The following is a 13,976-nucleotide window of genomic DNA, read 5'->3' as shown; positions in this document are numbered from 1 at the left end:
GGAAGTGGAAATTATAGTTACTACAGTTTTCTCTCTTCTCACTATTGATGGAATCACAATCTACATCTTATAAATCTAGTGATAACTGTAACTTGTTATGTTTGAGCTACGTGAAAATAACACACATAACAACGGAACACTCCTTAAGCACTATGTGAATAAGTAGTGAAATGAAAAGTAAATGGACATGGATCTTAATGTAACTGCACAATCAGCAACCTGCAATTCATGGAAACTAAGTTTCTTTTTTCATTTTATTTTTTCTATAACCGTAGTTCTCTTACCATTGGGATCCTCACAAAAATTATGTGAATTTCTTTTTGGAATCACTAAAACTTCTGTCAGATCTGGAGTAAGACTAAATCCGAAAAAACCAGCATTCAGTATGATTTCTACCTTCTCTTCTGCCCGCTTCCTGGACTGACATTGTATGACAACTGCAGGAGAGAAATATTTCCAGTTAACTTGACTTGTAGGTGATATGATCATTCTTGAGATAGAAGAAAATGAACTATGTCATAAAAATAAAACTTCCTTTGATATACTTTGACTTGTCATTGTATCTGGCCACATACACACATACACACACACATTCATGCAATATCTACATCAGTTAACATTTGGGAAGAAAATATGAATATTAAAGACTATGTAAAAATAGCACAGGAAAATAAATCTGTAAGATATATACTAGATTATAAAACATTATATTAGGATATAGAAATTTGATTCGGGAACTGATGTAGTTAGATCCATAACTCAAGGGGCAATTGTAAATGCATGAATTTTTCCCCTTTTGAAATATATGTTCATTGTGATAATACTAAACTTTACTTTTATAACAATACTATAGAAAATGCCTTCAAATAATTTAAAAAAATAAGTTCTGTAACACTTATTTTGCAATATTTTAAAAATATTTCCTATTAGATTCATTACGTTTTTACATGTACCATGAAATTCATATTCAAATTAAATAAAATATTTAAAATTATTTTTGATTTACTTTTAAGTTTATAAAAATTACCTTTTAAACACATAAAAGTAAAATTGTAATGATTTAAAATTCAAGTTAAATGTGATTACATATTAATTTAATGTACAGAATTAAATATATATATATAAATATATTTCATATGTATTAAATTCCAATATTTTATCATCTCCAGTGGTGAAAAACTTTGTCAGCAATGTTGTGAGAAATCAAAATAGTCTGTTTATGTACAACTACCAATTATATCAAGGAGGAATATCAATGTATTATTTTGACATTAGCTCTGTAACCATGTGTACTGGAGTCCACATAAATAAGAATATTATTTCTCCCAAACATATAAAATGCTCTACTACTATCAAGTCAAATACACATTGAATATAGGGGAAAAAGGAGAATCATAATATAAAAAAGCTTGTGAAATGTATTATGCTATGATTCTGTGGCATCAATAATAATATATTCACACAAACTACAAAATTAGATGATGTCCTCAGATGTATGTGTTTTCACAATACATATATTTGTAGTTTAAAATACTATAACAAATGTAAATTTTATTCTAAAATTTAAAAATTTATATTGAACATTCTGGATTTAGAATGAGTATGTGAAATGTACAATAAGAATACAATGATATATATAAATTAAACGGTTTAAAATGGCTAGGAAAAACTGTACAAGCTTTTCTGGTTATAACTATCTTCGGTATCAAGGCATTAAATCAGAAATTAATGTTATCAAAGTTACAATTAGTATCATGTCACTGGTTGTGTCCTAGAGGTCCTTAGGAAATTAGTGCTCTGGCAATGTATGGATCACTCAATCACAATGAATTATCATTTCATTGTCTTTACAGTGTGACAGATAGTAGAGTGTTTTTCCAATTATCTGGCCCAATAGACAGTAGTAGATAAGAATGCACAAAGAGAAAATGTGGCTTAAAGAACAAAAAAGTATCCTGGGTTTGAGAATAACTCGAGTGACAGATACATAAAAAAGAAAAGAATTAATAAACTTTGCTAATGATATAGGTGAGCAGGGAAAGCAGTAGGTTATATCCGATGTTACTAAGAACAAAAAATGGACTACACAGAAAGTAAATGATATGTATTTATAAAATTATATCCACTTGCCTTTCGAGGGCATGTGTAGATAAAAATAATCACCAGCATAGATTTTAGATTTTGGGGAAAATGATTTAATAACTAATACACACTCTATTTCAGAACATTAATGTTGCGATAGGTTGTGCTAATCTAACACAAGCTATTTACAGAACTCACGTTTAATTTAAAAATCAAGTAATTACCAAGAAAAATGACTCAAACAAAAATGCTCTAGACGATGTTTAACTGTCTTTGAAGAAACATGTGCAAGAAATCTATGTTTTTGTGTTCTCATAAGCATGGTTTTTGACTAAAAATTTGGCTTTAGACCTTTAATCTGGATAAAATGAATCTGTCTGCAGTAGACATGAGCAACAGTATTATTAGCATTCCAACAGAGTACTGTCTAGGGCTTATTATATCACTTTGATCAGATGACTGTGTATTATAAATTTTAAGCAGTTCAGCTATATCAGAAGTATACAATCAACTATCTTCTGGAAGGAAATAAAATAAATTTTATGACAAGTTTGTGAAATATTCTGAAGATAATTTATAATATTTAAAATATTTATCTATGTGTTGATTTTTTAAAGTCAAGAATAAAAATGCTTCAAGGAAAATAAATGACATTTGTGGTCAAAGGTATTACTACATTTGTGGATTTTTACTCCAGTTCAAATTAAACTACATAAGGAAACATGTAGTCTTGATCTTTCTTTACAACCAGTGTATCTGGGGAAATGCTTTACTTACAAGCAAAACTTACTACTGTCTCTTCTTTCTAAGTGTGGTGATATAATTACATCAGTGGAAGTCTAACTCTTTTTTATTTACAAAGATTGTTATCAGAGGGAGAAAGAAAAAGCAAAATTTCAAGACTTATTTTAACTCATCTGTGTTGCTAAAGGGGGAGATTCAAAATAAATATTCCTTTGCTTTGCAGAGCAATTCAGTGCATCTTAGTGATGCAGAATGCCATCTAGAGCCTGGTAAGAGGTCTGGATACTAAATATCACTGGTTATATAAGAGAAATTTTGTTTCTTAGGCTGATCCTGGGAAGGCAATGGGAAAATCAAGGAATGCAAAAGAAGTGAGAAGAGTATTGAGGAAAGAGAACACACAGAAACGTTAGAGAAGTCTAGGGTATGCCGAGGCAAAAAAAAAAATAAATAAATAATAATAATAAAGGTCAAAGAGAACAAGAAAGGCATTTAAGGGCAGAGATTTTATATTGTGTTTATTCTGGCAAAGTTAACCTTCCTGAAAACTTCAGTACATTCTGACTGGTTTGGGGGAACACCATAAAGTTTTATGCTTGAGACAATAATAAAGGGATCCACATCTCCACAGCATAGTTCTTAGATGAGATCGAGAGTTACACAGAAGCCGAAAAAGGATGACTAAAAGTGACCTGAGAGCAAGTATACCTGAGAATCTTACAAATCTAGTGCAGAGCTCTGTGGAATAAAGGAGTCTGAAGTTAATTTGATTTTAATTTTAGCCGATATCTGCATTTCACCAACAGGAAGGCAACAAAAAATAGTGTGGTTTTGTGGAAAACTCATTGGACACATTGGGAGAGCATGTTTATGTCATAGAATGCCCACCAGTAGGACTGTTCACATTACTACCTACTTTCTCTGGACTTCAAACAAAAAAGATGGGAATAGAGAATATCTAAGGTCTCTAAGAATTCTGGCATTCTCTGACCCTAATGTATACCTACCTGGGGGAGATTTAGGAGGTGGTGCTTGTGGGAGTCCAACAATAGGGTATATCCAGTGTATTGCTTGGATTTCTTCGCTGTCGATTCCCACAATACTAATTAGAAATTAAAATATTAAGAGGGAACAAAAGGAGAAACTCCATATTAACAAAAAGCTTATTATTTATTAACTTTATGGTATTTTAGTAAAGCTTGTAAATTCAGACTTTGGTAGAGAGCAACTGATGAAAGAAAGAACATTTTCTGCAAATACTGATTTTATAAACATTTCAAAGCAAACCCTGGAAAATCATCACAAAGCAAACTGTAATGAAACCATCATGAAATATAAGTTAAAATTGAAGAGCTTTTTTCCCTACTTTAATGAGAGGTACTATAGCCCTCTTGGGATCTATTCTATATTGGATGGGCAAAGCACAAAACAAAAACTGCCATGAAGTACAGTACTTCAGAATTTTGTGAGGCATTTACTTTTGGAGGATACTACTTAAAAGAAAGGGGGCATTTGTCCAAATATTTTAGGTGCATCATACAACATTAGGAGCACAGCAATATTAGAAAATGTTTATAGGCCAGATATGGTGGCTCATGCCTGTAATCCTAGCACTTTGGAAGGCTGAGGCAGGCGGATCACTTGAGGTCAGGAGTTCAAGACCAGCCTGGCAAACATGGTGAAAACCCACCTCTACTAAAAATACAAAAATTAGCCAGGCGTGGTGGCACACACCTGTAATCTTGGCTACTTAGGAGGCTAGGCAGGAGAATTGCTTGAACCTGGGAGGCGAACGTTGCAGTAAGTTAAGATCATGCCACTGCACTCCACCCTGGGCAACAGAGTGTGACTCCATCTCAAAATATTAATCAATTAATTAAAAAAATTTATGATCATTTTTGAAGTTGGGATTTTTTTCATTAAAATGAAAGACAAGACATTGCAGGCAAGACAGGTTGAGCATGGGGCTTATGCAAAAGAATAAGATCCCATCCTTAGAAGGCCTTCAAGCTTCTTTAATGCATTCCTGTAACTGTTTTGAAATTCTTCATAGTTATTGAGCAAAATATTAAGTTTGCTCATTCTCATTTTTCACTGAGACTTACAATTTATGTAGCCAATCTTGACTATAAGAGTGGTGAAAATGCATGGTAGAATGGATAGTAATGGGCCCACAGTAAAGAACTGGCAAAAAATGAAGGAAAGAAATATGCACATGTAGGACAAAGTAAAAATTTATTTTTAACTAAGATTTCCAGATTATCATTTAATTAAACTATAAGAACAGAGAACACATTTAGATTTTGCACGATTATTGAATTTTGCTTAACTTCCAGCTAAGCAAGAAAGATACAAGTAACTTGCATTCTGGCAGTGGCAGAATACCTCTAGCCATGGCAGTTTCATATGATGGATGTCATATCCACCTGGCACAGTGTGAATTCCAGTATCATGAATTCACTTCACTCAGACAAGCTGTTTTAGGTTGTCCTCTGTATACTGATTATTTATTATGTTAGCAGTCACTATTTTCCATGTCAGAAAGGAGTCCCTTTGCATGTCTCTGACTTTGATTCACTGATAATGATACTTAAGATTAAAGTTGTTCATCACTCTGAGCTTCAAATCAACCATTAGAGATATATATATATGTATATATTATTTTCTATACATTATATATATCCACATGACAAATATATTTTCCTCCTCTGAACATATGAATTTCAACAGTTCAGAGAATATAAAATCATGAGCTTGACATTATATATGTATAACATGTAAAAGAAACCTAGCATGTCAGTGGCTGTCAAAATAAAATTATTTTCCTTCAATGTCTTTATTTAAATGTTACCTTTTAAATTTTATATCCAACTCATCAAAATTGTCAATAGGCCAATATTTTCCATTTGCTTTCGTCATCTCAATAATAACCATTGTTTTGTGTAATTTCATAATTTGAGGTATAAATAACAATGAGATATCTATATTTCCTTTAGGAGGCAGTGCAATTCCTGTAAAACACACAAAAATAATTTTTAATATGGTAAATATTAACAGACTATAATTTTAACAGGAGAAGGTAAACACCTAATTTGATTACTGATTATCAATTTTTAAAAACTGCTTCTGAACAAAAAACGCATTATGCAAAATTATAAGTTCGCTTCACTATTTTACCTTAGATGCCATCAACCTTATTTTTTAATTATTATTATACTTTAAGTTCTGGGTTACATGTGCAGAACGTGCAGTTTTGTTACATAGGTATACACGTGCCATGGTGGTTTGCTGCACCCATCAACCCATCACTTACATTAGGTATTTCTCCTAATGTTATCCCTCCCCTAGCCCCCCACCCCACAACAGGCCATGGTGTGTGATGTTCCCTGCCCTGTGTCCATGTGTTCTCATTGTCCAACTCCCACTTATGAGTGAGAACATGCAGTGTTTGGTTTTCTGACCCTGTGATAGTTTGCTGAGAATGATGGCTTCCAGCTTCATCCATGTCCCTGCAAAGGACATGAACTCATCCTTTTTTATAGCTGCATAGCATTCCGTGGTGTATATGTGTCACATTTTGTTAATCTAGTCTATCATTGATGGACATTTGGGTTGGTTCCAAGACTTTGCTTTGTGAATAGTGCCACAATAAACATACGTGTGCATGTGTCTTTATCATAGAAGGATTTATAATCCTTTGCGTATATACCCAGTAATGGGATTGCTGGGTCAAATGGTATTTCTAGTTCTAGATCCTTGAGGAATCTTCACACTGTCGTCCACAAAGGTTGAGCTAATTTATACTCCCAACAGTGTAAAAGTGTTGCCATTTTTCCACAACCTCTCCAGCATCTGTTGTTTCCTGACTTTTTAATGATTGCCATTCTAACTGGTGTGAGATGGTATCTCATTGTGGTTTTGATTTGCATTTCTCTGATGACCAGTGATGATGAGCATTTTTTGTATGTCTGTTGGCTGCATAAATGTCTTCTTTTGAGAAGTGTCTGTTCATATCCTTTGCCCAGTTTTTGATGAGGTGGTTTGTTTTTTTCTTATAAATTTGAGTTCTTTGTAGATTCTGGATATTAGCCCTTTGTCAGATGGATAGATTGCAAACATTTTCTCCCATTCTGCAGGTTGCCTGTTCACTCTGATGATAGTTTCTTTTGCTGTACAGAAGCTCTTTAGTTTAATTACATCCCATTTGTCAATTTTGGCTTTTGTTGCCATTGCTTTTGGTGTTTTAGGCATGAAGTCTTTGCCCATGCCTGTGTCCTGAATGGTATTGCCCAGGTTTTCTTCTAGGATTTTTATGGTCCTAGGTCTTACGTCTAAGTCTTTTTAAAAGACACATTTTCCTGAAGTAAGAAGTTTCTCCTGAAGATGCCACTAGAACTGAGGAAATGTTGAAAGTGATGGCTGAGGTTTCCCAGAGTGATAAAAGAGCCACAAAACCCATGAGTCTTTTCATATCTTAACACATTTTGCAGAGGATAAAGTACAGCAATTTTTGATTCTTTATTTTCTCGTATATGTTTCTCTAGACTATAACAGGTGCAAGTCTCTGCTTAGAGCCCCCAAATTGCTGCCACTAAAAGCTGTTAATTTATTTAGCTGATCCATGAGGAAAGCCAAAGCTTATCTGTGAAAGAAAGGGGCATCTGCTCCTAGTTGTGAAAACCATAAGACAGAAACACTGACAACATTTTCTTGTGGTCCAATGGATTAGAATTTTTCAACATTTACTATGCATGAGTCACCTGAGAGACCTGATAGACATGGAACCTGCAGAGCCTCATTCCAAGAGATTCTGATTTATTTAGGCTGAGCTAAGGCCCAGGAAGCTGCATGATTAAGTAGCACCTTATAGGATCCAAAGGCAGGTGGTCATGAGAATGTATTTAAAAAAAAACACACACACACACACAGAAACAAACAAACAAACAAACAAAAAACAAATTACCTCTTGGACAAATTTCCAGAGGTTTGAAGAATGTTAAGCTTCAGGGCATTTGTATCAGTGAGGGTTTCCAAGCCTATGAATGTCTACATTTAAAGTAACACTGCTTTACAAGATAATAGAGGATTATTGACTACACTCATTTTTTATTCTGTTGTAAGACTGATGATAATCAAAGTCATTTTTTCTCAAATAAAATTATTTTATTAAACTATTTAAAACATCACAAATGGAAATTAAAAATGGCCCCTTTGCAAAACTTTCCAACTCAAAATTCTTGTAAATTTTCAAATTTTAAATGTTATTCCTTGAGGAAATTAAAACATTCTAAGGTCTAGTAACATTGTTAATAATAATCAATAATTAATATAATTAACAGTTAATATTTGTTGAGTATTGACTATATTCAGGCTCCGTGCTAAGTATTTTTATACAACAATTTATTTAATTCTCAGAAAACCAGCATAAATTAAATGCTTTTACGTTTCTCATTTTAGAAATGAAAACATTGACACAATTTAGTTAAATAACTTGCCCAAAGTCCCCTTGAAAGATTATGTTGTTTACTAAGATAACTAAACCAGGGGTCCCCAACCCCCAGGCGGTGGACCAGTAAGAGTCTGTGGCCTGTTAGGAACTGGGTTGCACAGCAGGAGGTGAGCAGCAGGTGGGTGAGCATTACCACCTGAGCTCTGCCTCCTGTTAGATCAGTGGCTGCATTAGATTCTCATAAGCGAGACCTGTTGTGAACTGCACATGTGAGGGATCTAGGTTGCAGGCTGCTTATGAGAATCTAACTAATGCCTGATGATCTGAGGCAGAACAGTCTCATGCCAAAAATCTCCCCCGACCCTGTACCGCATCTCTGGAAAAATTGCCTTTCATGAAACCGATCCCTGGTGCCACAGAGACTGGGGACTGCTGATCTAAACAAACTCAATTATCTTCAACTTTGTTTTTATGAATTCTATATTTTCATGAATCATTGTTGTACGAAATAGATAAAGTTAATTAATATAAACACACTTCCTAAAAAAAAGTTATACATTATGAAGGTCATTACATTTTGTATACACAGAGATATTTGCAAGAACTTGTAAAATATATTTGAACCCAACCTACTCCTTTGCTTTTGACTAATATTTTTATTGTGGTTCTCAATTATTCTTAGTACAATAACATAGATTTTCTATTGTGACTTTAAATCTATAAACCTCCCTTCAAGGTAATGAAAGAGTACGCTAGATGACTATATATTTCACAGGTCATAAGTGCAAATGTTATTAAGAGTATAGTTTATGGAGATTTCATTATGTTTAATTTCAGGGAAACTATAGATTAATTCATTTTAAAATATGTTCAGATAAAAACAGCAAAGGCTAACTCAAATAAACCATGCATGCATCCTCAAGGAGATAAAGTTTAGCAATTATAACTTAGCCTTACAAGATTACATTATTACTAAAAAAAATATATGACCACTAAAAATAAACCTAGGCTTTTAGATAGTGAAGATAGTGTAAGAAGTCAAGACAGATAAAAAAAGAGTAGCTCACTACTTATACCATGATTTCTTTTAACGTTTAAATTGAAAGTATAGAAAGATGATGTCATGACAAACATGCCCATTTTATTGAAAATCTAGTACCCCATTTGTGGTTGTAACTTTTTTACCAAGCCTACAAGTAGAACTGAAGTTCATTATTGAATTCACCACAGGTTTCTTTAGCTATTATTATACCTTTGGATGGATAAGAACCACTCTGTAATGCTGTTAACTTCCAAGAAATCACTGAAAATTAACATTGAAAAGAACTTTGAGAGTGTATCAAGTTCATTTTTCATCTCACAAATTAGTTTTTTTTTTTTTGAACTGAACTTCAGTTTTGCTATTCTGCAACTCTTAGTTCCTTTTTTTTTTTCTTTCTCTCTTTTTTTTTCTTTTTTTTATTATACTTTAAGTTTTAGGGTACATGTGCACATTGTGCAGGTTAGTTACATATGTATACATGTGCCATGCTGGTGCGCTGCACCCACTAACTTGTCATCTAGCCTTAGGTGTATCTCCCAATGCTATCCCTCCCCACTCCCCCCACCCCACTTATTGCGGCATTATTCACAATAGCAAAGACTTGGAACCAACCCAAATGTCCAACAATGATAGACTGGATTAAGAAAATGTGGCACATATACACCATGGAATACTATGCAGCCATAAAAAATGATGAGTTCATGTCCTTTGTAGGGACATGGATGAAATTGGAAATCATCATTCTCAGTAAACTATCGCAAGAACAAAAAACCAAACACTGCATATTCTCACTCATAGGTGGGAATTGAACAATGAGATCACATGGACACATGAAGGGGAATATCACACTCTGGGGACAAATTAGTTTTATTTTCTATGGTTTTCCCATTGCCCTTCACAATACTTTGACTATGGACAGGAAAGCTGTTCTTCCTTCTAATTAAAAATCTATCATTGATGGGCATTTGGGTTGGTTCCAAGTTTTTGCTACTGTAAATAGTGCTGCAATAAACATATGTGTGCATGTGTCTTTAGAGTAGAATGATTTATAATCATTTGGGTATATACCAAGTAATGGGATTGCTAGGTCAAATGGTATTTCTGGTTCTAGATCCTTGAGGAATCACCACATTCTTCCACAATGGTTGAACTAATTTACACTCCCACCAACAGTGTAAAAGTGTTCCTATTTCTCCACATCCTCGCCAGCATCTGTTGTTTCCTGACTTTTTAATGATCGCCATTCTAACTGGCATAAGATGGTATCTCATGTGGTATTGATTTGCATTTTTCTAATGACCAGTGATGATGAACTTTTTTTTCACATGATTGTTGGCTGCATAAATGTCTTCTTTTGAGAAGTGTCTGTTCATATCCTTCACCCACTTTTTGATGGAGTTTCTTTTTTCTTGTAAACTTATTTAAGTTCCTTGTAGATTCTGGATATTAGACCTTTGTTGGATAGAATACTGACCATGGAATACTATGCAGCCATAAAAAAGAATGAGTTCATGTCTTTTGCAGGGACGTGGATGAAGCTGGAAACCATTATTCTAAGCAAACTAACACAGGAACAGAAAGCCAAACACTGCATCTTCTCCCTCATAAGTGGGAGTTGAACAATGAGAACATATGGACACAGGGAGGAGAACATCACACACCAGGGCCTGTCAGGGGGTGGGGGAAAAGGAGAGGGAGATCATTAGGACAAATATCTAATGCATGTGGGGCTTAAAACCTAGATGACAGTTGATAGGTGCAGCAAACCACCACATCACGCCACATGTATACCTATGTAACAAACCTGCACGTTCAGCACATGTATCCCAGAACTTAAATTTAAAAAAAGAAACACCATGAATTACATATCAACAACAAAAAAATCTACCCATGTTTTCTTCTAATACTTGTATGTTTTCATTTTTATAGTTAAATATTTGATCCATCTGTAATTTACACATGTATGAAGTGAAGAATTTATCTAATGTTATTGATGTTTTAATATGGAACTAATTATCAAAAAAACACACTTATTTAAAAGAGTATGAATTTGAAATGCTAGCTTCATAGCATTTCCATATATATTTGGGTTTATTTCAGGATTTCCTAGAAGTTTGCTTTGGTCTTTCTGTCACTTCATGTGTAAGTATTACCTTGTGTCAATTACAGATGCTCTATTTTCTAGTAAGACTAACTGCTTTCTTTTCCAGCTCATTTTTAAAAATAATATTTAAAACTTGCAATGATCGGTTAGCTCCAGGGAGCAGACTGGCGTGGGGGAACAAACGGTATTTTAAATGCCATCACCCTACATTTATACATCAGTTTAGGGATATTTGAAATTTTTGTTCATCCATACCTACCCAAGAACAAAAACATACCATTTATTTTTCTTATTTGAGTGCCAACCTCATTATATAAAGTGTTTCTAGGTTCTTGGAATAGGTTTTCAGCTAGTCTTAGTTTTCAGTGTTACTAGTAGTTAAACACATCTTCATATGTGTTTACCAGGAAGCTGGAAGTAATTACATCAGTTGTTTGTATCTTCTGACTGGGAAATCTAGCTAGTATAATGATTATATTTATTAGATTAAGTAACCTAATAAAACATATTATAAACTCAAAATGTTTGAGCTTTTTTCTTTCTTTTTTTATCCATTTCCATACAGTCACTATATAATTTAACTACTGATAGATTTATTATTTTCTGTTACAGTCATCATTCTTAAAGTTCAACTCTACTAAGCATCTCGGGAAAATATGCATATTTAATTTACATAATTTATTTTACACATGTATATATATTTTAAAAGAGTTATACATTATTTTTTGAATTTTAGAAACCCTGATAATAAATCATGTTTAGTATCTCAGGAATACTAAAAATAATGACATTATTATTATTATTATTTGTGCTTTGCTTTTAAAATCTACTATAGCCCAATTACAATTAGCATTCAAATTTTATTTGGTGTATATTTAAAACTGCTATTTTGATTGTTCTTTTGATTAAAGGTGTTAGAAATTTTTACTCTTTGATCTCCTATTTGAAATGTGGAAATTGTACAGTGTTTTAATAGCTATGAGGTCTTCTGTCTTTCAAGAAAATTTTCTCAAGATAGTAAAGTGAACATAACCCTAATTTTAGTAATAAAATTATTTCAACTTGGGCAATTCATTTTTCATCACTTTAGTTGTATTACATTTCTGCTCCCGTTTTTTAATAAACTGTGCACAATTTCTAATAATTACTGTGGCATTAGAAATGGCCCATGTCAGATAATCCAAGAGACACTAAGAAATATTCTAGCACCGGCCAGGCGCGGTGGCTCACGCCTGTAATCCCAGCTCTTTGGGAGGCCGAGGCGGGCAGATCACAAGGTCAGGATATCGAGACCATCCTGGCCAACATGGGGAAACGCTGTCTCTACTAAAAATACAAAAAATTATCTGGGTGTGGTGGTGCACGCCTGTAGTCCCAGCTACTCGGGAAGCTGAGGCAGGAGAATCGCTTGAACCTGGGAAGCAGAAGTTGCAGTGAGCCGAGATCGCACCACTGCACTCCAGCCTGGTGACAGGACGAGACTTTGCCTCAAAAAAAAAAAAAAAAAGAAAAGAAAAGAAATATACTAGCACCATAAGTAGTACTATTATTTTTGCTTTAAATACAAATTCAAGTTTTTTATTTTTAATTAAGAATACTTGTTTTTATTTTTGAAACATAAAGTGATCAAGAATGTGACTTTTCATTAACCATTTTCAAACATAAAATTGATGTATTTTTCCATTTGAATACTTTGTGTTTCCAGTAGTTAATTTTTTTAAATAAAAATAGAACATAATTACTCTATTGGTGGTTTGAAGGAGAGTCGCATCCTGTAATTTGTTCTTCCTAGATGTTAGGGGCTGAATTGTGCCCCCAACATAAAAATTCATATGTTGAAACCTTATCCCCAGTACCTCTTAATGTGATTGTATTTGGAGGTTAGGCCTTTAAAGAGTTGATTAAGTGAAAATTAGGTTATTAGTGTGGGCTCTAATCCAATATTACTGGTGACCTTATAAGAAGATATAATTTGAACACAGAGAGACACTGGGGGCAAATGCACTGAGAAAAGACCACATGAAGACACAGCTTGCCCAGGAAAGAGGCCTCAGAAGAAATCAAACCTGCTGACACTTTGACATTGGACTCGTAGCCTCTAGAACTGTGAGAAAGTAAATTTCATTTAAGTCACTCAGTCTGCAGCATTTTGTTATGGCAGCCCTAGCAAACTAATTCATGAGACTATCTTTTCTTTTTATATATTATCCCTGAGTCTGTGGCATGGCTGTCATTAAATTTCCTTACAGAGATTCTAACTCCTTGCTGTCAAAACATAGAGCAGATAGAAAAACATCATCTGACTGCCATTTGGTTGCTCTGATGATGGAAAAGCTAGGGATGAATCATTCTCCCTTTCCTACCTATACTCCCTTGACTGAATGGGAGTATCTACTGAATAGTGAGAAGGGCATTTAAGGGATTACATTTTTCTCCTAAAGAATTAGAAACTGTTGCTGTTTTACCTTGTTAACCTTTCGTAGAGCTAGCTAATGTTTGAGATTTAATAGAAGGTTATCCGAAGAAGACACTGTCAAAGGAAATAGTATAGAAAA

The 13,976-nt window shown here is 33.8% G+C and overlaps 1 protein-coding gene across 1 annotated transcript in view; it reads right to left on the bottom strand.

The window, feature by feature from the left end:
• The window catches only part of CFAP47 (cilia and flagella associated protein 47), a 465,584-nt gene that overhangs the window by 31,352 nt on the left and 420,256 nt on the right, over positions 1-13,976 (bottom strand). The window contains exons 58-60 of the mRNA NM_001304548.2: positions 5,678-5,837; positions 3,834-3,928; positions 285-437 (exon numbers count right to left, since the gene is read on the bottom strand). Of these exons, the coding sequence (NP_001291477.1) occupies positions 285-437; positions 3,834-3,928; positions 5,678-5,837 (408 nt within the window). The remainder of the gene's footprint in view (positions 1-284; positions 438-3,833; positions 3,929-5,677; positions 5,838-13,976) is intronic.

Source organism: Homo sapiens, chromosome X (genome assembly GCF_000001405.40).
Source record: "Homo sapiens chromosome X, GRCh38.p14 Primary Assembly".
In the NCBI taxonomy this organism is placed as follows: Eukaryota; Metazoa; Chordata; class Mammalia; order Primates; family Hominidae; genus Homo; species Homo sapiens.
This window is presented reverse-complemented; position numbering and strand designations above follow the sequence as displayed.